At 55.9% G+C, this 23,042-nt stretch overlaps 1 protein-coding gene and 1 long non-coding RNA gene across 10 annotated transcripts in view, besides 1 other annotated feature; one reads left to right on the top strand and one right to left on the bottom strand.

Moving 5' to 3' along the window:
- The window catches only part of RASA4B (RAS p21 protein activator 4B), a 37,802-nt gene that overhangs the window by 10,998 nt on the left and 3,762 nt on the right, over positions 1 to 23,042 (top strand). For 2 of the 9 annotated variants that reach the window (NM_001367767.2, XM_047419681.1), the window contains exons 5-20: positions 1 to 85; positions 3,536 to 3,617; positions 5,553 to 5,684; positions 5,987 to 6,081; positions 9,816 to 9,933; positions 10,161 to 10,311; positions 10,576 to 10,640; positions 11,390 to 11,502; positions 11,707 to 11,899; positions 12,105 to 12,242; positions 12,811 to 12,955; positions 13,495 to 13,664; positions 15,657 to 15,794; positions 18,182 to 18,317; positions 21,621 to 21,741; positions 22,891 to 22,955. The exon at positions 1 to 85 is cut by the window's left edge and continues 45 nt beyond it. In NM_001367767.2, the coding sequence (NP_001354696.1) occupies positions 1 to 85; positions 3,536 to 3,617; positions 5,553 to 5,684; positions 5,987 to 6,081; positions 9,816 to 9,933; positions 10,161 to 10,311; positions 10,576 to 10,640; positions 11,390 to 11,502; positions 11,707 to 11,899; positions 12,105 to 12,242; positions 12,811 to 12,955; positions 13,495 to 13,664; positions 15,657 to 15,794; positions 18,182 to 18,317; positions 21,621 to 21,741; positions 22,891 to 22,955 (1,947 nt within the window). Of the gene's footprint in view, positions 86 to 3,535; positions 3,618 to 5,552; positions 5,685 to 5,986; positions 6,082 to 9,815; positions 9,934 to 10,160; positions 10,312 to 10,575; positions 10,641 to 11,389; positions 11,503 to 11,706; positions 11,900 to 12,104; positions 12,243 to 12,810; positions 12,956 to 13,494; positions 13,665 to 15,656; positions 15,795 to 17,506; positions 17,719 to 18,181; positions 18,318 to 18,615; positions 19,000 to 21,620; positions 21,742 to 22,890; positions 22,956 to 23,042 lie in introns of those variants that run through there. The other 7 variants (XR_007059979.1, NM_001277335.2, XM_047419684.1 and 4 more) reach the window with 7 other exon arrangements.
- Positions 11,388 to 12,866, bottom strand: LOC124901715 (uncharacterized). Its single transcript, XR_007060463.1, has 2 exons — positions 12,775 to 12,866; positions 11,388 to 12,580 (listed from the first exon to the last, which is right to left on the bottom strand). It is a non-coding gene; the product is annotated as an uncharacterized LOC124901715 (long non-coding RNA).
- Positions 15,681 to 16,181: an enhancer, noted in NCBI's record as "H3K4me1 hESC enhancer chr7:102131046-102131546 (GRCh37/hg19 assembly coordinates)". NCBI's record gives its function as "activates a minimal SCP1, AML or CMV promoter by ChIP-STARR-seq in naive H9 embryonic stem cells {active_cell/tissue: H9 hESC(naive)}" and the evidence as "EXISTENCE:reporter gene assay evidence [ECO:0000049][PMID:30033119]".

Genomic DNA, 23,042 nt, shown 5'->3' with positions numbered 1-23,042 from the left:
AGGTGCAGGGCGAGATCCACCTGCGGCTGGAAGTGTGGCCAGGGGCCCGGGCCTGCCGGCTACGCTGCTCTGTGCTGGAGGCCAGGTGAGACTCAGGGGCCTGGGGGCGGGCAGTGGGTCCCCTGCAACTAGAGAAACCCAATGAGGAAGCTGAGCCCCCCCTCGCCCCACCTCTACCTCCTGGTCCCAGAGCTGGCCACCTCCCATCAAAGCCTGCTCTCAAGAGAGGGTCTCGCCAGGCACCGCGTCTCACACCTGTAATCCCAGCACTTTGGGAGGCCGAGGCAGGTGGTTCACCTGAGGCCAGGAGTTCAAGACCAGCCTGACCACCATGGTGAGACCCTGTCTCTACTAAAAATACAACAATTAGCCGGGCATGGTGGCAGGCGCCTGTAATCTCAGCTACTCAGGAGGCTGAGGCAGGAGTCTTGAACCCAGGAGGCAGAGGTTGCAGTGAGCCGAGATGGCGCCACTGCACTCCAGCCTGGGTGACAAGCGAGACTGTATCTCAAAAAAAATAAAAAAGAAAGAAAAAAGAGAGGGTCTGGGGAGGTTTTCTGGACTTGAAGATGCTTCTTGGGTGATTTCCACTCAAGGGGATATGTCCCTTAAGGGACAGTCTAATGTTCTCATGGAGGAACTGGAGCCATCACAGAGGAGTGGAGTAGGGGGTACGGGTGAGGAGACCCCGAACTCTGATCACACAGCCTCAGTCCCCCAGTGCTAAGGCCGGCTTCCCAATGTTTAACGCCAGTGTGAACTTGGCCTGGTGGGAGTGTGTGTAAGTGGGTCCCTCGTGGGGCTGGGGGCGTGAAAAGAGTTGCTGAAAATCTCCCGATGGGCAAATTGAGGGTTCCCCCAAGGAGGGACAGTGGTTTGGATGGTTCCATGGGCCTGAGTCACCTGTGACAGGGCCACCCCCCAACCCCCAGGGTATTTTTAGCTGCAGGCTGCACTCCCGTCTGGGCCTGGGTCTGAGTCACACTCTGTCCGTGAGAAGCGTCTTCCCTTCCGGCTCCAAAGCCACCTCCCCAAGTCGCTCCCTGCCTGTGAGGCAGGAGGGTGGCCCCCAGCCAGGCAGCCCTATGGAGCCAGTGTTCCCCCCACCCTTGAGGGGTCAGCCTGTCTAAGAGGAAGACTTCCCTTGGGCAGAGGGGTGTGGGTCGGATGATGCCCATGTTGCTCACTCTGGCTTCCCGGGAGTTATTTTCTGTCCTGGGAAAATAGAAATGGATGGAAAATGTCTGGGCTTGGGCCGAGCCTCAGCCACACCCCCACACTCGCTCACTCTCTGGCCTCTGCCATTCATTCCCCCCCGCCCCACCCCAACTCACCCGCTTCCTCCATCCTTATCCTTTCCAGGCACCAGGCTGTCTGGGGGACAGGCATGCACACGTGTGCACCCGCTCACACACGTGGCCGGGCTCTGGGACCTCAGGGCCACTTCTCCCAGGCACCCATCGTCACCCACGGAGATGGGAGGCATGGAAGCATGTCTCCCTGGCCCTCCCCTCTCTCCAGGAATCTCCCCTGTCCCATCCTCTGGGGCCACAGTGGTTGGCCTTCTAGTGAGTCCTAGCAGGGGAGAGGAATGTCCAGGCCTCTCTCAGAGTGAGGGGACTTGTCCCCCGTTGTCCTCGGCAATGAGACTCCTGCTGCAATTCCAAGTCAGCCTAAGAAGGTCCATTTGCTGCGGAGAAAGAAAGAACATTTCCTCATTTTTTCTGGGGAGATTCTCAATATTTCAGTAAAACCTTGGGGTTTTTTTGTTTTTTGTTTTTGAGACAATCTCGCTCCATCATCCAGGCTGGAGTGCAGTGGCCCGATCTCAGCTCACTGCAACCTCCACCTTCTGGGTTCAAGCAATTCTCCTGCCTCAGCCTTCCTAGTAGCTGGGATTACAGGTGTGCACCACCACGCCCGGCTAATTTTTTGTATTTTTAGTAGAGACGGGACTTCACTATGTTGGCTAGGCTGGTCTCAAACTCCTGCCCTCAGGTGATCTGCCTGCCTCGGCCTCCCAAAGTACTGGGATTACAGGCGTGAGCCACTGCACCCGGGCTGTTTTTTTTTTTTTTGGTGGGTTTTTTTTTTTTTTTTGAGGCAGTCTGGCTCTGTCGCCCAGGCTGGAGTGCAGTGGCGTTTTCTTGGCTCACTGCAACCTCTGCCTCCCCAGGTTCAAGCAATCCTCCTGCCTCAGCCTCCTTCCCAAAGTGCTGGGATTATAGGAATGAGCCGCTGCACCCAGCCTCAATGTTGGGCTTTTATTAGACAGTCTTGAGGGGGAAGAAAGGCAGGTATGAGAGGCTTCAAATATCAAAGATGAGTGGGCTTTGGTGTTCTTCCACAAAGAGTTCTAAGTAGGGGATACTGGCAGGGTGCAGTGGCTCACTCCAGTAATCCCAATGCTTTGGGAAGCAGAGGTGGGAGGATCTCTTGAGGCCCAGATTTCGAGACCAGCCTGGGCAACAGCAAGATCCTGTCTCTACAAAAAAATTTAAAAATTAGCCAGGTGTGGTGGGGCACACCTATAGTGCCAACTACTTGGGAGGCTGACGTGGGAGGATTGCTTGAGCCCAGGAGGTGGAGGCTGCAGTGGGCTATGATTGCATCACTGTACTCCAGCCTGAGCAACAGAGCAAGACCCTGTTTAAAAAAAAAAAAGAAAAGAATAAAAGGGCCAGGCGCGGTGGCTCACGCCTGTAATCCCAGCACTTTGGGAGGCCAAGGCAGGCGGATCACCTGAGGTCAGGAGTTCGACGGCAGCCTGGCCAACCTGGTGAAACCCCATCTCTACTGAAAATACGAAAATTAGCTGGGCGTGGTGGCAGGCACCTGTAATCCCAGCTACTCAGGAGGCTGAGGCAGGAGAATTACTTGAACCCAGGAGGCGGAGGTTGCAGTGAGCTAAGATTGCACCATTACACTCCAGCCTGGGCGACAGAGCGAGACTCCGTCTCAAAAAAAAAAAAAAAAGCTGGAGGTACCGTGACTAGACTAGGGCTGTGTAAAGACCCATCTATGGAGAAAGGGCAGGGCCGCCCATCAGGGCTGCACCTCACTCCTCCACCAAGTAGAGCGACATTACTGGGGCAGACCTTCCAGAAGCACACTCTCTCCCTAAACCTGAGCCCAGTAGCGATTCACTTTTCCATTTTCCTGATGAGGAAACCGAGGCTTAGGGCAGCCCTGGGAATGGAGGGCCAGGAACATTGCCCCGGCGGTTCCCTGGCAGCACTCACACCACCCCCCTGCCACCCCCAGAGCAAGGTGCAGCCACTGGCCTGCAGCTGCCTGGTGGGAAGGACCCATGGCCTCTACCTTGGGGGGTTCTTGGCCACATGGGCGATCCTGGGGAGATGGCTATGGGAGCAGGGCCCAGAAAGGGCAGAGGCGCACTGTCCACAGTCAGCTTGCCAGGGACGGAATGTGCCCAGGCCTTTTGGCCCGCTGTGGTTACATAATGGTGGTGACAAGTGGGGGAGGGGGGGCTCAGGGACAAGTCGATGATCCAATCTTCCTCCACCCCCACCAGGGATCTGGCCCCAAAGGACCGCAATGGCACATCTGACCCCTTCGTCCGAGTGCGCTACAAGGGCCGGACACGGGAGACCTCGGTGAGGAGGCCAGAGGGCAGGGAAGGGGCAGGGGGCTCGGGGGACGTGCCAGCCACGCCCCCATTGCTCACCTCACCACCTGCTCACCATCCGCTGGTGGGACAGATTGGGGGCCACAGTCTTACAGAGGAGGCCCAGGGAAAGGGGCGACCTCTCTGAGGGGACATAATAGGTCCCAGGACCTCTGGGGCCAACTTCGCTCACTCCCGGCCATGCTTGGGGGTAAGGAGGGGATTGAGACAGCCGGAGTGGGGTTTATTTGGGAACACCCATGCTGCCTTCCCCACCCCCAGGAAATGTCCAGAGTCGAGGGCCCAGTCCTGGGCACGAAGACACCAAGGTCTGCTTTCTCAGTATAGTCGCTACTGTTTTTGTTTTGTGTTTCGTGGTGTTTTTTTTTTTTGAGGCCAAGTCCCACCCTGTCACCCAGGCTGGAGTGCAGTGGCTGGATCTCAGCTCACTGCAGGCTCTGCCTTCCCAGTTGGAGAGATTCTCCTGCCTCAGCCACACGAGTAGCTAGGATTACAGGCACACACCACCACACCAGGCTAATTTCTTGTATTTTTAGTAGAGATGGGGTTTCACCATGTTGGCCAGGCTGGTCTCGAACTCCTGGCCTCAAGTGATCCTCCCGCCTCGGCTTCCCAAAGTGCTGGGATTACAGGCATGAGCCACCACGCCCAGCCCTGTGTTTTTTGTTTGTTTTGCTCTGTTTTTAAATATTTTATTTCCATAGGTTATTGGGGAACAGGTGGTGTTTGGTTACATAAGTTCTTAGTGGTGATTTATGAGATTTTGGTTCACCCATCACCCGAGCAGTATACACTGCACCCAATTTGTAGTCTTTTATCCCTCACCCCCTTCCCGCCCTTCCCCCCCGAGTCCCCAAAGTCCACTGTGTCATTGTTATGCCTTTGCGTCCTCATAGCTTAGCTCCCACATATGAGTGAGAACATAACGATGTTTGGTTTTCCATTCCTGAGTTACTACACTTAGAATAATAGTCTCCAATCCAATCCAGGTTGCTGTGAATGCCATTAATTCATTCCTTTTTTATGGCTGAGTAGTATTCCATCGTATATATATACCACAGTTTCTTTATCCACTTGTTGATTGATGGACATTTGGGCTGGTTTCACATTTTTGCAATTGCGAATTGTGCTGCTATAAACATGCGTCTGCAAGTATCTTGGCCAGGCACAGTGGCTCACACCTGTAATCCCAGCACTGTGGGAGGCCAAGGCTGGCAGATTGCTTGAGGCCAGGAGTTTGAGACCAGCCTGGCCAACATGGTGAAACCCCGTCTCTACTAAAAATACAAAAATTAGCCGGGCGTAGCGGCAGGCCCCTGAAATCCCAGCTACTTGGGAGGCTGAGGCAGGAGAATCACTTGAACCCAGAAGGCGGAGGTTGCAGTGAGCTGAGATCGTGCCACTGCACTCCAGCCTGGGCGACAGAGCAAGACTGTTTCAAAAACAAAACAAAACAAACAAAACAAAAACATATGTGTGCAAGTATCTTTTTTGTATAATGACTTCTCCTCTGGGTAGATACCCAGTAGTGGGATTGCTGAATCAAATGGTAGTTCTACTTTTAGTTAGTTAAGGAATCTCTGCTGTTTTCCATAGTGGTTGTACTAGTTCACATTCCCACCAGCAGTGTAGAGGTATTCCCTGTTCACCACATCCTCATAGTCAGTACTGTTTTGCTGTGTGGCCTTGGATACATCTTTTCCCCACCCTGGGCCTCAGTTCTCCCTATCTCAGAAATGGGTGGGAGCTTGGACAGGACATTTTAACCTCTGCTGTGGCAGAACCTCCAAGGCGAGGAGGCTGTGGGGAACCCAGGGGAGGTGTCTAGGGCAGCTCTGCCTTTTGCCCAGCCTGGGGAGTCCAGTGGCATCAGCCTAACCCCCTCCCACCCTCCTCTGGGCAGATCGTGAAGAAGTCATGCTACCCACGCTGGAATGAGACGTTTGAATTTGAGCTGCAGGAGGGGGCCATGGAGGCGCTGTGCGTGGAGGCCTGGGACTGGGACCTTGTCAGCCGAAACGACTTCCTGGGCAAAGTGAGCACCACCGCCCCGCCCCCCCTCCTCCCCCGGCAGGCTGCACCTGCTGTCCCCCAGCACCTGGTTCCATTGCAGCCATCCCATCCTCAGGGACCTCCCTCCGGCTTCCCCAAAGAGGGACACTCAGGAAGCCTGGGACTACCCCCCCACCTCCACCGTCTGCCAGAACCAGCAACTTCCCCCCACCACCACTGGCACTCAGGGACCCTTGGAAGGGGCCCCTCCCCACTAAGAACAGTAGTTGGCAAGGAGGAGACGTAAGTCTCCCAGCTCCAGGAAAACTGCCACTATGTCCCCAGGTGGTGATTGATGTCCAGAGACTGCGGGTGGTGCAGCAGGAGGAGGGCTGGTTCCGGCTGCAGCCCGACCAGTCCAAGAGCCGGCGGCATGACGAGTAAGTGCATGGAGCTGGGCAGCCGGCCTCAAGGGGTGGGGTGGGGGCTGACATTTGGGAATTGGCTACAGGCAGGCAGGGCAGGGGGGCTGCTCAGGGTGAGAGGTCAGGAGACACAGCTCCAGGGTCCCCTCAGCCCCTGCCCACCTAGCCAGCATCCTTCTCATCCTGGCTGGGCTCCACCTCCCCTTTATTTATTATTTATTTATTTATTTATTTATTTATTTTGAGATGGAGTCTCACTCTGTCCCCAGGCTGGAGTGCAATGGCGTGATCTCGACTCACTGCAGGCTCCGCCTCCCGGGTTCACGCCATTCTCCTGCCTCAGCCTCCCAAGTAGCTGGGACTACAGGCACCCGCCACCGCGCCTGGCTAATTTTTTGCATTTTTAGTAGAGACAGGGTTTCACCATGTTAGCCAGGATGGTCTCGATCTCCTGACCTTGTGATCCACCCGCCTCGGCCTCCCCAAGTACTGGGATTACAGGCATGAGCCACCGCGCCCGGCCCCTCCCCTTTATTTTTCCCCACAGTTCTGCATTCAGCTCAGCTCTGTCTTCTGTCTTTTTTTTGAGATGGAGTCTTGCTCTGTCACCCAGGCTGGAGTGCAGCGGCACAATCTTGGCTCACTGCAACCTCCACCTCCTGGGTTCCAGTGATTCTCCTGCCTCAACCTCCTGATTAGCTGGGATTACAACTGTGTACCACCATGCTCGGCTAATTTTTGTATTTTTAGTAGAGACAGGGTTTCACCATGTTGGCCAAGTTGGTCTCGAACACCTGACCTCAAGTGATCCACCCGCCTCAGCCTGCCAAAGTGCTAGGATTACAGGCATGGGCCACCGCACCCGGCCAGGTCTGTCTTCTTAGCTCACAGGTTGTACAGGTCTCCTGCTTTCTGCCTCTGGAAGTTTCTGAAACAAGTACTCAGACATTTTCCCTTTGAAAATTTCCCTGCAGACCTCAGACCAGGGTTCAAGTCTCCAAGGTCAGTGTCCCTGAGCCATAGCTCCAACTCCCTATGCCAGATTCTCCAGGAATAGGGTTGTGAGATAAGATAGGACACCATTGGCCAGGAGCGGTGGCTCATGCCTGTAATCCCAGCTCTTTGGGAGGCCAAGGTGGGAGGATCACTTGGGGCAAGGAGTTTGAGACCAGCCTGGGCAAGAAAGTGAGACTCCGTCTCTACAAAGAAATAAAAATTAGGCCAGGCGCGGTGGCTCACGCCTGTAATCCCAGCACTTTGGGAGGTCGAGGTGGGCGGATCACCTGAGGTCAGGAGTTTGAGACCAGCCTGGCCAGATGGCGGGCACCTGTAATCCCAGCTACTCGGGAGGCTGAGGCAGGCAGAATTGCTTGAACCCCGGAGGCAGAGGTTGTAGTGAGCCAAGATTGCGCCATTGCACTCTAGCCTGGGTGACAAAGCTAGACTCTGTCTCAAAAAAAAAAAAGAACACCCAGTTAAAACTTAATTTCAGATAAAAGTGAATATATATATATATATATTTTTTTTTTGAGCAGAATCTCACTCTGTCACCTAGGCTGGATGGAGTGCAGTGGCACGGTCTTGGCTCACTGCAACCTCCGCCTCCCAGGTTCAAGCAATTCTCATGCCTCAGCCTCCCGAGTAGCTGGGATTACAGGCATGCACCTGTACCACCAGTACAGTGGTGATCATAGCTCACTGTAGCCTCCACCTCCTGGGTGCAAGCAATCCTCCCATCTCAACGTTCCAGGTAGCTAGGACCACCTCACCTGGCTAAATTTTTGTAGTTTTAGTAGAGATGGGGTTTCACCGTGATGGCCGGGCTTGATGTTGAACTCCTGACCTGTGCCCGGCTGTGAATACATTTTTAGTATAAAAATAACCGCTGGGCGTGGTGACTCACACCTGTAATCCCAACACTTTGGGAGTTTGAGGTGGGTGGATCACTTGAGGTCACGAGTTCGAGACCAGCCTGGCCAACATGGTGAAACACCGTCTCTACTAAAAGTACAAAAAATGGTGGTGGGCACCTGTAATCCAAGCTACTGAAGCAGGATAATTGCTGGAACCCAGGAGACGGAGGTTGCAGTGAGCCGAGATCCCACCACTGCACTCCAGCCTCGGTGACAAGAGCGAAACTCCGTCTCAAGAAAACAGCCGGGTGCGGTGGCTCATGCCTGTAATCTCAGCACTTGGGTGGCCGAGGCGGGTGGATCATGAGATCAGGAGTTCAAGACCAGCCTGGCCAACATGGTGAAATCCCGTCTGTACTAAAAATACAAAAATTACCCGGATGTGGTGGCGGGCACCTCTAATCTCAGCTACTTGGGAGGCTGAGGATGGAGAATTGCTTGAACCTGGGAGGTGGAGGTTGCAGTGAGCCGAGATCGCGCCACTGCACTCCAGCCTGGGTGACAGAGCAGGACTCCATCTCAGCAAAAAAAAAAAATAAATAAAGAAGAAGAATGACCATGCACTATTTGAGACATACCTATACTAAAAATATTCAAATTTAGGCCGGGTATGGTGGCGCATGCCTGTAATCTCAGCACTTTGGGAGGCCAAGGCAGGAGGATCACTTGAGCCCAGGAGTTCAAGACCAGCCTGGGCAACATAGCAAGACCCCATCTCTAAAAAAAATAGTTAATAAGTAAATAAAATATTCACATTTAACTGGGTGTCTTGGGTCGTTTTGCTAAATCTGGCAGCCTGTCTAGGAAGCCCTCTGGCTTGTTTGCTGTGGCCCACAGCCCTCAGTGGTTCAGCTTTGTGTCTCTGTGGAAGGCCCCAGACCCCCATTCCCCCAGTTCCCATCCTTAACAGGGTAGGAGCAGGTGGACGGCTGTGTGTCCAGCACAAGGTGTTTCCATAGAACCAGCCAAGGCCCATCTTGCCATCTTATTTTTTATTTATTTATTTTTTTTGAGACAGAGTCAGGCTGGAGTGCAGTGGTGCAATCCTGGCTCACTGCAACCTCTGCTTCCTGGGTTGAAGCGCTTCTCCTGCCTCAGTCTCCCGAGTAGCTGCGATTACAGGCACCTGCCACAATGCCTGGCTAATTTTTATATATATATTTTAATAGAGATGGGGTTTTGCCGTGTCAGCCAGGCTGGTCTTGAACTCATGACCTCAAGTGATCTGCCTGCCTTGGCCTCCCAAAGTGCTGAGATTACAGGCATGAGCCACTGCGCCAGGCCCAGGGGCCCATCTTAACACTGCTCTGTGCATGAGGCTTGTGCTGAGCAGGGGCAGTGGGAGCCTTAGAGGTTCCCACTTGGTCCACACCCTCCTCTGTTCTGAACTTCCCTATCAGAACAGGGAAGCTGGGAAGCTCAATCTAATGTGGCAAGTTGCTGAACTGGCTCGGGTCTCAGTTTCCCTATTAGGTTGTTATGAGGGTTGGGGATTTGCTTCTGCTGTAAAGTGTACCCATGATGGTGCCATTATCTGGGAGTTGATCGATTCAAGGCTGGCAGCTCCACATACCCAAGCTTGGAGGTGGCAGGGAGCCAGACCTCGAAGACAGATAGAGGTGCCTTGAGTGCAGAGACAGGAAGGGCTTTCCAAAAACAGAAAATAAATAGCCCGGGCAGAGCCTGGGAGGCAGAGCTATGCAGGGCACCCGAATGGAGGGCATGAGCAGAGAGATGGGAAGCCGGCCCCAAGGGAAAAAACTGGAGGCCATGGGAGTGGTGTGGTCCAGGGTGGCCTGAGTCCCTGGTGGAGAGGTCACAGGCTGCCCATTCCAGGGGCAACCTGGGCTCCTTGCAGCTGGAGGTGCGGCTGCGGGACGAGACGGTGCTGCCCTCCAGCTACTACCAGCCACTGGTGCACCTGCTGTGCCACGAGGTCAAGCTGGGCATGCAGGTGAGGGGGCCTGGGCAGGGTGGGAGGGTCCAGTGGCAGTAGGCCTGTGCGCCTGTCCTTCTAAACCCATTCTGCAGAGCAGAAACCTGAGGTCTGGGGATGTGAGGAGCTGGCCAGTGTCCAGGGCCCCGTCCCCAGCCACCCCTTGGGAAACTGTCCTCTTTCCCTGGGATGCTCTGAGGTCCTCAGAGGGAAAGGTTCGGGATCCCCCGTGCCTCTCCCTGCAGGGCCCAGGGCAGCTGATCCCACTCATCGAGGAGACAACCAGCACCGAGTGTCGCCAGGACGTGGCCACGAACCTGCTCAAGCTCTTCCTGGGGCAGGGGCTGGCCAAGGACTTCCTGGACCTGCTCTTCCAGCTGGAGCTGAGTCGCACCAGTGAGGCCTGGGAAGGAGCTGGGCCCAGAACACTGGGAGGTGTTTGGGGGTGGGTGGGCTCCTCCTGTAGGAGGCAGATGGGGTCAGAGAGGAGGGAGGCAAGGAACAGAGCCAAGGGCAGAGGTGGGACAGTGGGCTGGGAGGTGGCGAGGAGGCCCTTTATTGAGGGGCCAGCTTAGATCCCCCAGCCCCAAGGTCCTCTGTCCTCCCCCTCCCCCAAAAGCTTTGTGCCAGCCCCCTACCCACTGGGACCTCTGTTTGTAGGTGAGACCAACACCCTGTTCCGGAGCAACTCTCTGGCCTCAAAGTCCGTGGAGTCTTTTCTGAAGGTGAGGTTGCATGCTATATTGTCCTCATCTTGCAAACGACAACACTGAGCTTCAGAGAGAGCGACAGAGGGGGCTGGGACTTCGACTCCAGTGTTCTATCTCCATATTCAGAGCCCTTTAAGGTTAAGAATGTGGCTGGGCATAGTGGCTCATGCCTGTAATTGCAGCACTTTGGGAGGCTGAGGCGGGCGGATCACTTAAGGTCAGGAGTTCGAGACCAGCCTGGCCAACATGGCGAAACCCCATCTCTACTAAAAATACAAAAATTAGCCTGGCATGGTGGTGGGCACCTGTAATCCCAGCTACTGGGGAGGCTGAGGCAGGAGACTCACTTGAACCAGGAGCCAGAGGTTGTAGTGAGCTCACGCCACTGCACTCTAGCCTGGGCCCCGTGCTAGACTCCGTGCCCCGCACCCCCCCCCCCCCCAAAGAGAATGTGTGTGTGATTAAAATTTAAGTTAGAGACAGTCTCACTATGTTGCCCAGGCTGGTCTCAAACTCCTGGCCTCAAGTGATCCTCCTGCCTTGGCCTCCCAAAGTGCTAGGATTACAAGGGCTAAGAATTCTAGTCATTCATTCACTCACTCATTCATTCATTCATGAATAAACAGTTTGCCCTGCATGTGTACCTGGCCCCCTCCTGGGCGGATACGGCAGGCAAACGGTGCAAGGGCGGCTGCCGGGAGAAGGTGGGCAGCTGGAGTGGGACTGGGGGAGACAGGATCAATGTGACCTGCGGTGGTCCCCAGGTGGCCGGGATGCAGTACCTGCACGGCGTCCTGGGCCCCATCATCAACAAGGTGTTTGAGGAGAAGAAGTACGTGGAGCTGGACCCCAGCAAAGTGGAAGTTAAGGATGTAGGGTGAGGCCGGGGGTAACTCCGGGGGTTGCGGGGTGCAGCGGCAGCGGGTTGGGATCAGGCCCTGTCAGCATGTGTGTTTGTGCTTCTGCCCACCCGTGTATTGTCCCCTGTGTCCGTGTCCTGGCTGCTGTGAGAGCCACTGTTCCTGTCGTGGCCCTGGCGCTGACCGCGACCTCCTCTGCCAACCCGCCCCGTTCCACGCAGGTGCTCCGGGCTGCACCGCCCGCAGACCGAGGCCGAGGTGCTGGAGCAGAGCGCGCAGACGCTGCGCGCCCACCTGGGGGCCCTGCTGAGCGCGCTCAGCCGCTCGGTTCGCGCGTGCCCCGCCGTGGTGCGCGCCACCTTCCGCCAGCTCTTCCGGCGCGTGCGCGAGCGCTTCCCCGGCGCCCAGCACGAGGTGCGCCCTCCACCCGCTGGGCTAGGCTGGGCCGGGTTGGACTGGGCTGGGGCGAGGGGTGAAGAGCGGTGGGGAACCAGGGAGCGCTGGGGAGGACCAGGGAGGCTGTGTCCCAGCGAGGGTCAGGGACGGAGCCTAAGGGGAGGGGGCTGCCAGGAGCCCTGGTCTGGGGGACTCCAGCCCGCGCTCTTCCGCACCCCTCCAGAATGTACCGTTCATCGCCGTCACCAGCTTCCTGTGCCTGCGCTTCTTCTCTCCCGCCATCATGTCGCCCAAGCTCTTCCACCTGCGGGAGCGCCACGCGGACGCCCGCACCAGCCGCACCCTGCTCCTGTTGGCCAAGGTGCGGGCCTTGCGGCCACGGGCGGGATGCACAGCTGGGTGTCCTACCGGGGCCCTGGCCTGGACTGCAGAGTGTTCCCTACCGGCTCCGGCGAGGCCACTGGCACGCCCACGTAGGCACTGCACTTCACAGTTTGCAAAGCCTTCCTGTGGCCACCTTGTCCGAGCTCCATCTCATGGATAAGGGAACAGGCCTGCGAGGGGTCGGGGGTTGCCAAGGCCGCCCATCCTGTCGGTGGTGAATCGCGGGACCTTCCAACCCGGGTCTGCTTACTCTCAGGCTGCACCTATGTGCCCGGCACCGGGGTGGGGTATCCGGTGCAGCAGCGTCAGTTAAACCTACAGAGGAAGGCCCAAGTGGTCTCAGTTATCATAAGGCATCAAACTTCATGATCCTCTCCTCCCTGATCCCTAGTGGGGCTGGAGGGGGCCCGTGGGCATGGCCTCTGTCGCCTCTGCCTCCATCGCTACAGCTGAGTAGCAAAGACTTGGGGAGGGGGGGTGGGAGGGGGTGCAGTGGCTAGGCCCCTAACCTAGCAGAACCTGGTCCTTCCTGCTGTCACCTCCAGGCAGTCCAGAACGTGGGCAACATGGACACGCCGGCTTCCAGGGCCAAGGAGGCTTGGATGGAGCCGCTGCAGCCCACCGTGCACCAGGGCGTGGCGCAGCTGAAGGACTTCATCACCAAGCTCGTGGACATCGAGGAGAAGGACGGTGAGCGCCGCCCTGCACAGACCCGCCCACAGCCTACTGCTGACGTTTGCTCCGCCCTTGAGCCCCACGGCCCCACCCATCGCTGTTTGTTCCTCTCGTGGCCCCACCCACCGCCTGCTGTTGGCATTTGCCAGGCCCCTAGGCCATAGACCCACGCACCACTGTTTGTGCTTCCTGTGACCCTGCCCACTGCCTGCCGTTGACGTTTGCCCCAGCCCTAGACCCATGGCCTCACCCCCCCATCATCTGCGCCTGTTGACATTTGCTCCATCCTTGAGCTCCATAGCCCCGCCGCCACCTGCTACTGACGCGTGTCCCGCCTCCAAGCCCATGGCCCTGCCTTCCTCAGTCCACCTGTCACCCCGCTCACCACCAGCTGTTGATGTTTGCTCCGCCCTTGAGCCCCATGACTACGTCCACTGCCTGCTGTTCAGATTTGCTCAGCCCTTGAGCCCCATGGCCCCTCCCACTGCTCCGCTCCCCCCAGTCCCGCCCTCATTCACTGGGCTCTCTATTCCCCTCCCTCCCTGGCCTGGCAGAGCTGGACCTGCAGCGGACGCTGAGTTTGCAGGCGCCACCTGTGAAGGAGGGGCCACTCTTCATCCACAGGACCAAGGGCAAGGGCCCCCTCATGTCCTCCTCCTTCAAGAAGCTCTACTTCTCCCTCACTACCGAGGCCCTCAGCTTCGCGAAGACGCCCAGCTCCAAGGTGGGTAAGGAGGGAGGCCGGCAAGTGGGGCTCTGAGAGGCCGGCAAGTGGGGCACCTGTCCCCTTCCTTGGAGCCCACTTGAGGTACCCCCGGGGTCAGAGAAGAAAGCCAGGTGTGTGGCATCTGTACTGCTTGTCAGAACCTAGGAGGGCCGGGCACGGTGGCTCACGCCTGTAATCCCAGGACTTTGGGAGGCCAAGGCGGGTGGATCACTTGAGGTTAGGAGTTTGAGACCAGCCTGGCCAACGTGGAGAAACCCCGTCTCTACTAAAAATACAAAAAATCAGCCGGGTGTGGTGGTGGGTGCCTGTAGTCCCAGCTACTCGGGAGGCTGAGGCACGGGAATCGCTTGAACCTGGGAGGCGGAGGTTGCAGTGAGCCGAGATCGTGCCACTGCACTCCAACCTGGGCAACAGAGCAAGACTCCGTCTCAAAAAAAAAAAAAAATGAATATGGAGGAAGTTGATCCGACCTTACCAGGTTGTTGAGGATTAAATGAGATGATCTCCCTAAGGGTCCTGACCCAGGGCCTGGCAGGTAGTACTATTTAGGCAAATGATATTATTAAAGATAGTATATCACCTGGGCTGCTAGATGAGTAGGAGGCTAGGGCAAACAGGGGAGGCTTCCTGGAAGAGGCAGGAATATAGAAGCACGGAATCTTGGCGTGGGAAGGGATCTCAAAGATCACCTTGTACAGCCCTCTCTGAGTCATGGGTCACCTCTCCTGCAAGCTCTCTTCTCCCAGGAAGGGCTGAGGACATACTTCCTCCATGGACCTGGTGACTGCTTGCTGTACACCTGCCCCCAGTCATGCAGGCTATGGGGATGATCTTCCAGGAGTACCCAGCCTAGCCCTGGGCAGGTGAGAGCGGGCTAGGAGTAGGTGAAGGAGCTCATCACCCACCCTGTTCTCAACCAGCTCAGGGGTCCCACCAGATGAGGGGCCCGCCCCTTCCGACCAAAGACCCCTCAGATGATGATAATTATTTTTTGAGACAGGGTCTTGCTCTGTCACCCAGGCTGTAGTGCAGTGGTGCGATCATAGCTGACCGCAGCCTCAAACTCCTGGGCTCAAGCAATCTTCCTACCTCAGCCTCCCGAGTAGCTGGGACTACAGGCACGTGCCACCAAGCCCAGCTAATTTTCTTTAACTTTTTTTTTTGCGGAGATGGGGTCTTGCTATGCTGCCCAGGCTGTTCTCAAACTCCTGGCCTCAGGCAATCCTCCTGCCCCAGCCTCCCAAAGCACTCAGATGATTATTATACATCTTCCTTGCCAGGGTTGAAAGATTTGACTACATGGGCATTATTTAATTCTGGTCCCATTTTTTTTTTTTTTTTTTTTGAGATGGAGTTTCGCTTTTGTTGCCCAGGCCAGAGTGCAATGGTGCGATCTTGGCTCACCGCAACCTCCGCCTCCCGGGTTCAAGCGATTCTCCTGCCTCAGCCTCCCAAGTAGCTGGGATTACAGGCATGCGCCACCATGCCCGGCTAATTTTGTATTTTTAGTAGACACGGAGTTCCTCCATGTTTGTCAGGCTGGTCTCGAACTCCCAACCTCAGGTGATCCGCCTTCCTCGGCCTCCCAAAATGCTGGGATTACATGTGTGAGCCACTGCGCCCGGTCAGGATATGACTATTAGAGCCTGGGACTACAAAAGCAAGTTGGAAAATTAATAAATGCAAAGTCACAAAGCCTTGGCCACGGCCGGATTGACTTTGTAGCCCAGGGAATGCTGGCTGTCCCGACACTACCCCAAAGCTCACACCTCCGAGGCCTTCTGGGAGTGCCCCCCAGAGAGGCCAGGTCCTCCTCTCCCAGTTGCTGGGCACTTGGTCACCATCAGTCTGTGCTCTGCCCTGGCTGAGGTCACTCTAGGTCTCCCATGCCTACCCCTGGTGCTGCAGAAGGGGAGACTGAGGCCCAGAGATGGGGAATGGAATGCCCCTGGCTAGGTCCCTGAGCCTCCTCCTCCCTGCCTGCCCCAGAAAAGCGCCCTCATCAAGTTAGCCAACATCCGGGCAGCGGAAAAGGTTGAGGAAAAGAGCTTTGGCGGCTCGCACGTCATGCAGGTCATCTACACGGACGACGCCGGCAGGCCCCAGACTGCCTACCTGCAGTGCAAGGTGCGGGGAGGGGAGCGGGTGCTGTGGGAGTGGCCTGAACACTGTGGGAGTGGCTTGGGTGCTGTGGGAGAGGCCTGGGTACTGTGGGAGTGGCATGAGTCCTGTGGGAGTGGCCTGGGTATTGTGGGAGAGGCCTGAGCTCTATGGGAGTGGCCTGGGTGCTGTGGGAGTGCCCTGGATGCTATGGGAATGCCCTGGGTGCTGTGGGAATGGCCTGGGTGCTATGGGAGTGGCCTGAGCTCTGTGGGAGTGGCCTGGCTGCTGTGGGAGGGGCCTGAGTGGACTGGATGAGAAAAGAGTTGATTGAGCCTCTCGCCCCGCTACCAGCTACATCAGGCACCGCAGGGTGTGTCTAATCTGGGAGGTGTCAGGGACAGGTGTGTGTGTGTTGTCCAGGGGCCTGAGCCCCCAGGAGGCCATGGCCCATGTCTTTCCCTGGGCATCCATGTGTAGGTCTGTGTGTGGGCCAGTGCACAGACAGGTGCATCCCCGTGATGTGAAATTTGCACGTTGCACCCGTTTGTTGGAAACTATTTCCAGATAACTGAGATGGGGGCCAGGCACGCTGGTTCACACGGATAATCCCAGCATTCTAGCCAGGGCAACAGAGCAAGACCCTTTCTCTAAAACAGAAAGTCTGAGCTGGCACCTGTGTGGTTCTGTGTCTGTATCAATGCCTAATAATCAAACATTATGCTGTGTGTGGCTCTGGGTGCATGTTCTCAAGTAACCTTCTCATCTGTTCCTTCATTAACTCATTCATTCATTTATTTAAAAAATACTTACTGAGCACCTCCTAGGTTCCAGGCATGATTCTAGGTGAGGGGATACAGTGGCAGATGAGGCAGAGTCCTGCCCTCATGGAGCTGATATCCCTGGGAGAAGATGGGCCAATAAATACATGTTTCAAATGTCGGCTCATGCCTGTAGTCCCAGTACTTTGGGAGGCTGAGGTGGGAGGATCACTGGAGGCCAGGAGTTTGAGAACAGCCTGGCCAATGTAGCAAGACCCCATCTCTACAAAAAGAAAATTAGCCAGCCATGATGGCATGCACCTGTGATTCCAGCTACTTGGGAGGCTGAGGCAGGAAGATAGCCTGAACCCAGGAGTTGGAGGCTGCAGTGAACTATGATCACACCACTGCACTCCAGCCTGGGCTACAGAGTGAGACCCTGTCTCTTAAAAAAAAAAAAAAAAAAAAAAAGCAAATTGTGATAGTGACTTGAAGGGAACCAGAAGGGACTAAGGGAGCAAGGGAGGGAAGAGAGTGGGGTATAGCAGGGAGCGGTCTGTCCTATTAAGAGTGGTCAGGGAGAGTACAAAAAGTAGCCGGGTGTGGTGGTGGGTGCCTGTAGTCCCAGCTACTTGGGGGGCTGAGGCAGGAGAATCGCTTGAACCTGGGAGGTGGAGGTTGCAGTGAGCTGAGATCGAGCCACTGCACTCCAGCCTGGTGACAGAGCAAGACTCCATCTCAAAATAAATAAATAAATTAATTAGTAAATTAATTAAAGAGTGGTCAGGGAGGACCTCTGATGGGTGGCATTCGAGCAGGGACCTTGTAGGAGGGTGACCCAGATGTGTATCTAGGGCAGGGACATGTGGGACAAGTAAGAAGCCTGCAGCTGGAGGGGGGTTGGTTTCTTCCGGGCTTGACCGTCCTGGCCTGTGGGGAGGAAGTCACAGACCTGTCCCTCTGTGCCCTTCCCTCTAGGAGTTCCCTTTTGTGTCAGGGTCCAGAGCCACTGGGAAAAGTAGTGATATCAGGGCCACCAAATATATTTGGCGGGTTCTGGAATACCTACGAGCGTGGCCAAGGGGCCAGCGGCGGCTGAAATCCAGCCCACACCAGCCTCCTGGGCTCCTACCATCCCGGTGCCTTCCGTGGGGACAAGTGGAGCTGCTGCCACCAAAAAGACGAGACAGGTGGGAGAGGAGAGGATGAAGTCTTGCTGTGTTGCCCAGGCTGGTCTTGAATTCCTGGGCTCAAGCGATCCTCCCACCTCGGCCCCCTATAATCCCAGCTGTAGTCCCAGCACTTTGGGAGGCTGAGGTGGGAGGATCACTGGAGGCCAGGAGTTTGAGAACAGCCTGGCCAATGTAGCAAGACCCCATCTCTAAAAAAAAGAAATTAGCCAGCCATGATGGCATTATAGGAGTGAGCCACTGGGATTATAGGAGTGAGCCACTGCACCTGCTCTCCAGGCCATGCGCCCGGGCATGGGTCATGTTCCACTGGAGGAAGGGCAGCTTCTCCTAATTCACTCAAAGCTGCTGGGTTGGTATGGTGGGGAACATGGCGTCTGGCGTGGTACAGGAGCTCCGGGTTAGGAGGGCTTCCTGGAGGAGGTGACGTCTGAACAGGCCTCCCCCTCCGTGTCCCCTGCAGTGTGTGAATGAGCTTAACCAGTGGCTGTCTGCGCTGCGGAAGGTGAGCATCAACAACACCGGACTGCTGGGCTCCTACCACCCTGGCGTCTTCCGTGGGGACAAGTGGAGCTGCTGCCACCAAAAAGAGAAGACAGGTGGGAGAGGAGGCCTGGGTCCCGGGCTCTGCATCCGTCCACTGCGAGATCGGGCCTCTGGCTGAACGATGGGACCCTGAGCCCTGCTGTGCACCTGCAGGGACCTAACCCAAGGAATGCTGGCCCCTCCAGGAGCTCTGGGCAGAAAGGGTCCCGTGGACCAGGTGGTTTGGGAAATGCCACGTGATGTGTGTGATGCATATGAGTGAATTCGCTGAAGGCTCTAAGGAGGCCCGAAAACACGTTAGAATCCCATTTCTTTTTATTTCTTCTTCTTCTTTTTTTTTTTTTTTTTCAGACACAGACTTTCACTCTGTCCCCCAGACTGGAGTGCAATGGCACGATCTCAGCTCGCTGCAATCTCCACCTCCCAGGGTCAAGCAATTCTCCTGCCTCAACCTCCCCAGTAGCTGGGATGACCGGCACTCGCCACCAAGCCTAGCTAATTTTTTTGTATTTTGACTAGAGATGGGGTTTCACCATGTTAGTCAAGCTGCTCTTGTTTTGTTGTTGTTGTTGTTGTTGTTGTTGTTGTTGTTTGATACTGAGTCTCGCTCTATCATCCAGGCTGGAGTGCAGTGGTGCAATCTCGGCTCACTGCAATCTCCGTTTCCCAGGCTCAAGTGATTCTCCTGCCTCAGCCTCCCAAGTACTACAGGCGCAAGCCACTGCACCCAGCTAAGTTTTGTATTTTCAGTAAAGACGGGGTTTTACCATGTTGGCCAGGCTGGTCTTGAACTCCCGACCTCGTGATCTGCCCTCCTCGGCCTCCCAAAGTGCTGGGATTACAGGTGTGAGCCACCACGCCCGGCCTAGAATTCCATTTCTAACGTGGTTTAACCCAGCACTTCCCAAACTCTTTTGACAGGGAACCCTTCTCTTCCCCAAGGAGCTTCTTACAGAACAGGTGTTCTCAGGAACACATTCGAGGAGCCCCCTGCTAATGAGAGCCAGAGAGCCCCTGGGTTCGCACACTCCAATGCTGGCCATCTGAATCCGGAGCTGTGGGTGGGAGGGGACCCTGAGCCTTGGGCACTAGAGGGATGGCATAGAGGAGCTTCTAGAAGGACTCCATACTGTGTAGTACTCTAGGTTCTAGCACCTGTGGTTCTTGAGCACTTGAAATGTGGCTTGAGGAGCTGAGGGGTTTTTTTTGTTTAATTTTTTAAAACAGGGTCTTGCTCTGTTGCCCAGGCTGGAGTGCAGTGGCACGGCACGATCATAGCTCACTGCAGCCTCCAACTCCTGGGCTCAAGCAATCCTCCTGCCTCAGCCTCTGAGTAGGCTGGCACTACCGGCATGCATCACCACACCTGGCTCATTTAAAAAAAATTGTTTTAGAGGTGGGGTCTTGCTATGTTGTTCAGGCTGGTCTTGAATTCCCAGGCTCAAGCAATCCTCCTGCCTCGGCCTCCCAAAGTGCTGAGATTGTAGGAGTGAGCCACCACATCTGGCCTGAGTTTCACATTTTTAAAAATGTTGTTTTGGCCGGGTGTGGTGGCTCACGCCTGTAATCCTAGCACTTTGGGAGGCCAAGGTAGGCGGATTGCCTGAGCTCAGGAGTTAGAGACGAGCCTAGGCAACATGGTGAAACCCCATCTCTGCTAAAATACAAAAAAAAAATTAGCCAGGCATGGCGGCGTGGGCCTGTAGTCCCAGCTACTCAGGAGGCTGAGGCAGGAGAACTGCTTGAACCTGGGAGGCAGAGGTCGCAGTAAGCCAAGATGGTGCCACTGCACTCCAGCCTGGCGACAGAGCGAGACTCCATCTCAAAAAAAAAAAAACAAAAAAACAAAAAAAAAAACAGAAAAGAAACAAAAAACGTTGTTTTAATTTTAATTAACTCAAATAGCTTCATGTGGCTAGCTGCCGCCCTGTAGAACAGCACAGTTCTAGAACTTTCGAGACCTTCTCCCTGTTATCCACACTTACTTTACAGAGTAGACTCAGCACTTCGAGTCCCCTGTCCTTCAGGCCAGGCCAAATCTTGGTCCCCAGAGCCCAGTGTGGCAGAGGCCATCGAAAACTGACCCACGCACTCTAGCCCAGCCCTGGATTTACAGCCAAGCACTGTATAGGGATGGGTGACTCTTTTGTTTTTGTTTTTGTTTTGAGTTGGGTCTCTCACTCTCTCACCCAGGCTGGAGTGCAGTGGCATAATCATAGCTCACTGTAGCCTTGACCTCCTGGGCTCAAGCCATCCTCCTGCCTCAGCCTCCTGCAGAACTGGGACTACAGGCACATGCCACCACACCCAGCTATTTTTTATTTTATTTTTTTGTAGAGTCAGGGTCTCACTATGTTGCCCAGACTGGTCTTGAACTCCTGGCCTCAAGCTATCTTCCTGCCTCAGCCTCCCAAAGTGCTGGGATTACAGGTGTGAGCCACTGTGCCTGGCCTCTTGGTGACTCTTTGCAAGGGCATTGCTGGCTGGCTGATATGGCCTGCAGCCTCTGCCTGTAACCATCAGAGCGATACTCTCATTATCGGCAAGGTGGGACCCACCCTGGCCCAAGAGACAGGGCCTGTTATTCCACTGTATGGAGGAGAAGCTGAGGCTTAGGGAAGGCAGATGACTTGGCAAGGTCATAAAGACAGCAAGCTGCAGGACCAGCTCATTCTAAGGCATGAACCCCCTGTGGCCCACCTCACCATGATGTTAACATTTCAGCCTGCTCCCTTCCAGGCAGACAGTCTTCCAGAAAGTTACCCGGCTCCCTGGCTGGGCGCGGTGGCTCACGCCTGTAATCTCAGCACTTTGGGAGGCCGAGACGGGCAAATCACGAGGTCAGGAGATCGAGACCATCCTGGCTAACACAATGAAACCCCGTCTCTACTAAAAATATAAAAAATTAGCTGGGCGTGGTGGCGGGCATCTGCAGTCCCAGCTACTCAGGAGGCTGAAACAGGAGAATGGCGTGAACCTGGGAGGCAGAGCTCGCAGTGAGCCAAGATCGCGCCACTGCACTGCAGCCTGCACGACAGAGCGAGACTCCGTCTCAAAAAAAACCAAAAGTTACCCAGCAACCCGAGTCATATCCTGATGATATCCATGCTCCTCAGTCACGCATCCCGTGGTGCAGGGGCTGACCCCAAGAGGAGCTGCTGCCCCCAGAGGGTGGGGAGCCGAGGCAGGGCCTGGGTCAGACTTACCAGGCTATGCTCCCAGCCCAGCCCTCACTAGGGACCCCCGAGTGCATCTCTCTCCTCTCCAGGCCTCTGTTTCTCCATCTGTGCAACCACAGTGTTGGACATGGTAGTCCCAAGTGTCTGCTCGTAACTTTGCCCTCTCTGTGCCCCCAGGTCAGGGCTGCGATAAGACCCGGTCACGGGTGACCCTGCAGGAGTGGAATGACCCTCTTGACCATGACCTTGAGGCCCAGCTCATCTACCGGCACCTGCTGGGCGTGGAGGCCATGCTGTGGTGAGTCCCACCCAGGAGAGCCTGTGCAGCCTGGGGAACGTGCCAGGCTTGGGGCTGCTCCATGGTGGCTGGTCACCTCTCTTGTAATTGGCCACATCTGGGGAGGGCACCAGGAGTACCTCTCTGCAGCACGAGGCCAGCTCAGGTTAGGACAGAGGCCCCAAGGGTCAGGGCCATGCCTGCTTCATGCCATGTGCTGACTGAGCCCACCTTGCAACCTGCCCAGCTGTTCCCCTGGGCCCTTGGAGTACAGGCACAGCCTCAGCCAATTCCCTGAGTTCCCTGGCCATCTTGCTTCGTCCAGTGGTTCTCAGCCTTGGCAGAAGCTTAGGAAAAACAGGATGCTTTTAAAGATCAGCTTTAAAAAACAGGATGCCAAGGCCCCATCACTCAGGGTCTCTGGAGATGTGGCTGGTGCCAGGATACTTCAAGGTGATCCAGTGCTTCCCATGCGCTCAGCTTCCCCTGAGCCAACTGGAGCTGGAGCTCATTCATCTGTCACACCCCTACACTCTGCAAGGAGGAAGGGTGTGGTCCTCCCCATTCCTCATCGACTCTTCCAGGGTTTATCTCTGCCCTCAAAACCCACGAAGGTGGGGTGCGGTGACTCATGCCTGTTATCCCAGCTCTTTGGGAGGTGGAGGCAGGCAGATTGTTGGAGATCAGGAGTTTGAAACCAGCCTGGCCAACATGGCGAAACCTCTTCTCTACTAAAAATACAAAAATTAACTGATGTGGTGGAGGGTGCCTGTAATCCCAGCTACTCAGGAGGCTGAGGCAGGAGAATTGCTTGAACCCAGGAGGTGGAAGTTGCAGTGAGCTTAGATTGCGCCACTGCACTCCAGCCTGGACCGCAGAACAAGACTCTGTCTCAAAAACAAAACAAAACAAATGCAAAGGGCCTTCTGGTCAACCCACAGTGGGATGGGGAGGAGGAGGAGACACGGGGAGGGAGAAGGTGGAAGGTGCCCTGGTGGGCCTTGGCCCAGCCTCTTCACAGACTGAAAGAGTCAGCCCTGCCATCACCCCCAGAGCCACCTCTAGCCCAGGAGGCCCATGCTGGGCCACCCCCAGCCTTCCCACAAGGACACCAGAAGGTCTGGCAGGGAGAGTGGAGGCTGCTGGCCCTCACTCTGACCTCCCCCACAGGGAGAGGCACCGGGAGCTGAGCGGGGGCGCAGAGGCAGGCACGGTGCCCACGAGCCCTGGCAAAGGTAGGTCTTGCCCACCTGGGACTTGCTCGTGGCCCGAGCCCCCTCCAGAGATGCACGGGTGGGGTCCTCGGGCTCACTCCCAGGGGC

This window comes from Homo sapiens, chromosome 7, assembly GCF_000001405.40.
Source record: "Homo sapiens chromosome 7, GRCh38.p14 Primary Assembly".
Lineage (NCBI taxonomy): Eukaryota > Metazoa > Chordata > Mammalia > Primates > Hominidae > Homo > Homo sapiens.
The sequence above is the reverse complement of the archived record's forward strand: the minus strand, read 5'-3'. Positions and strand labels throughout refer to the sequence as shown.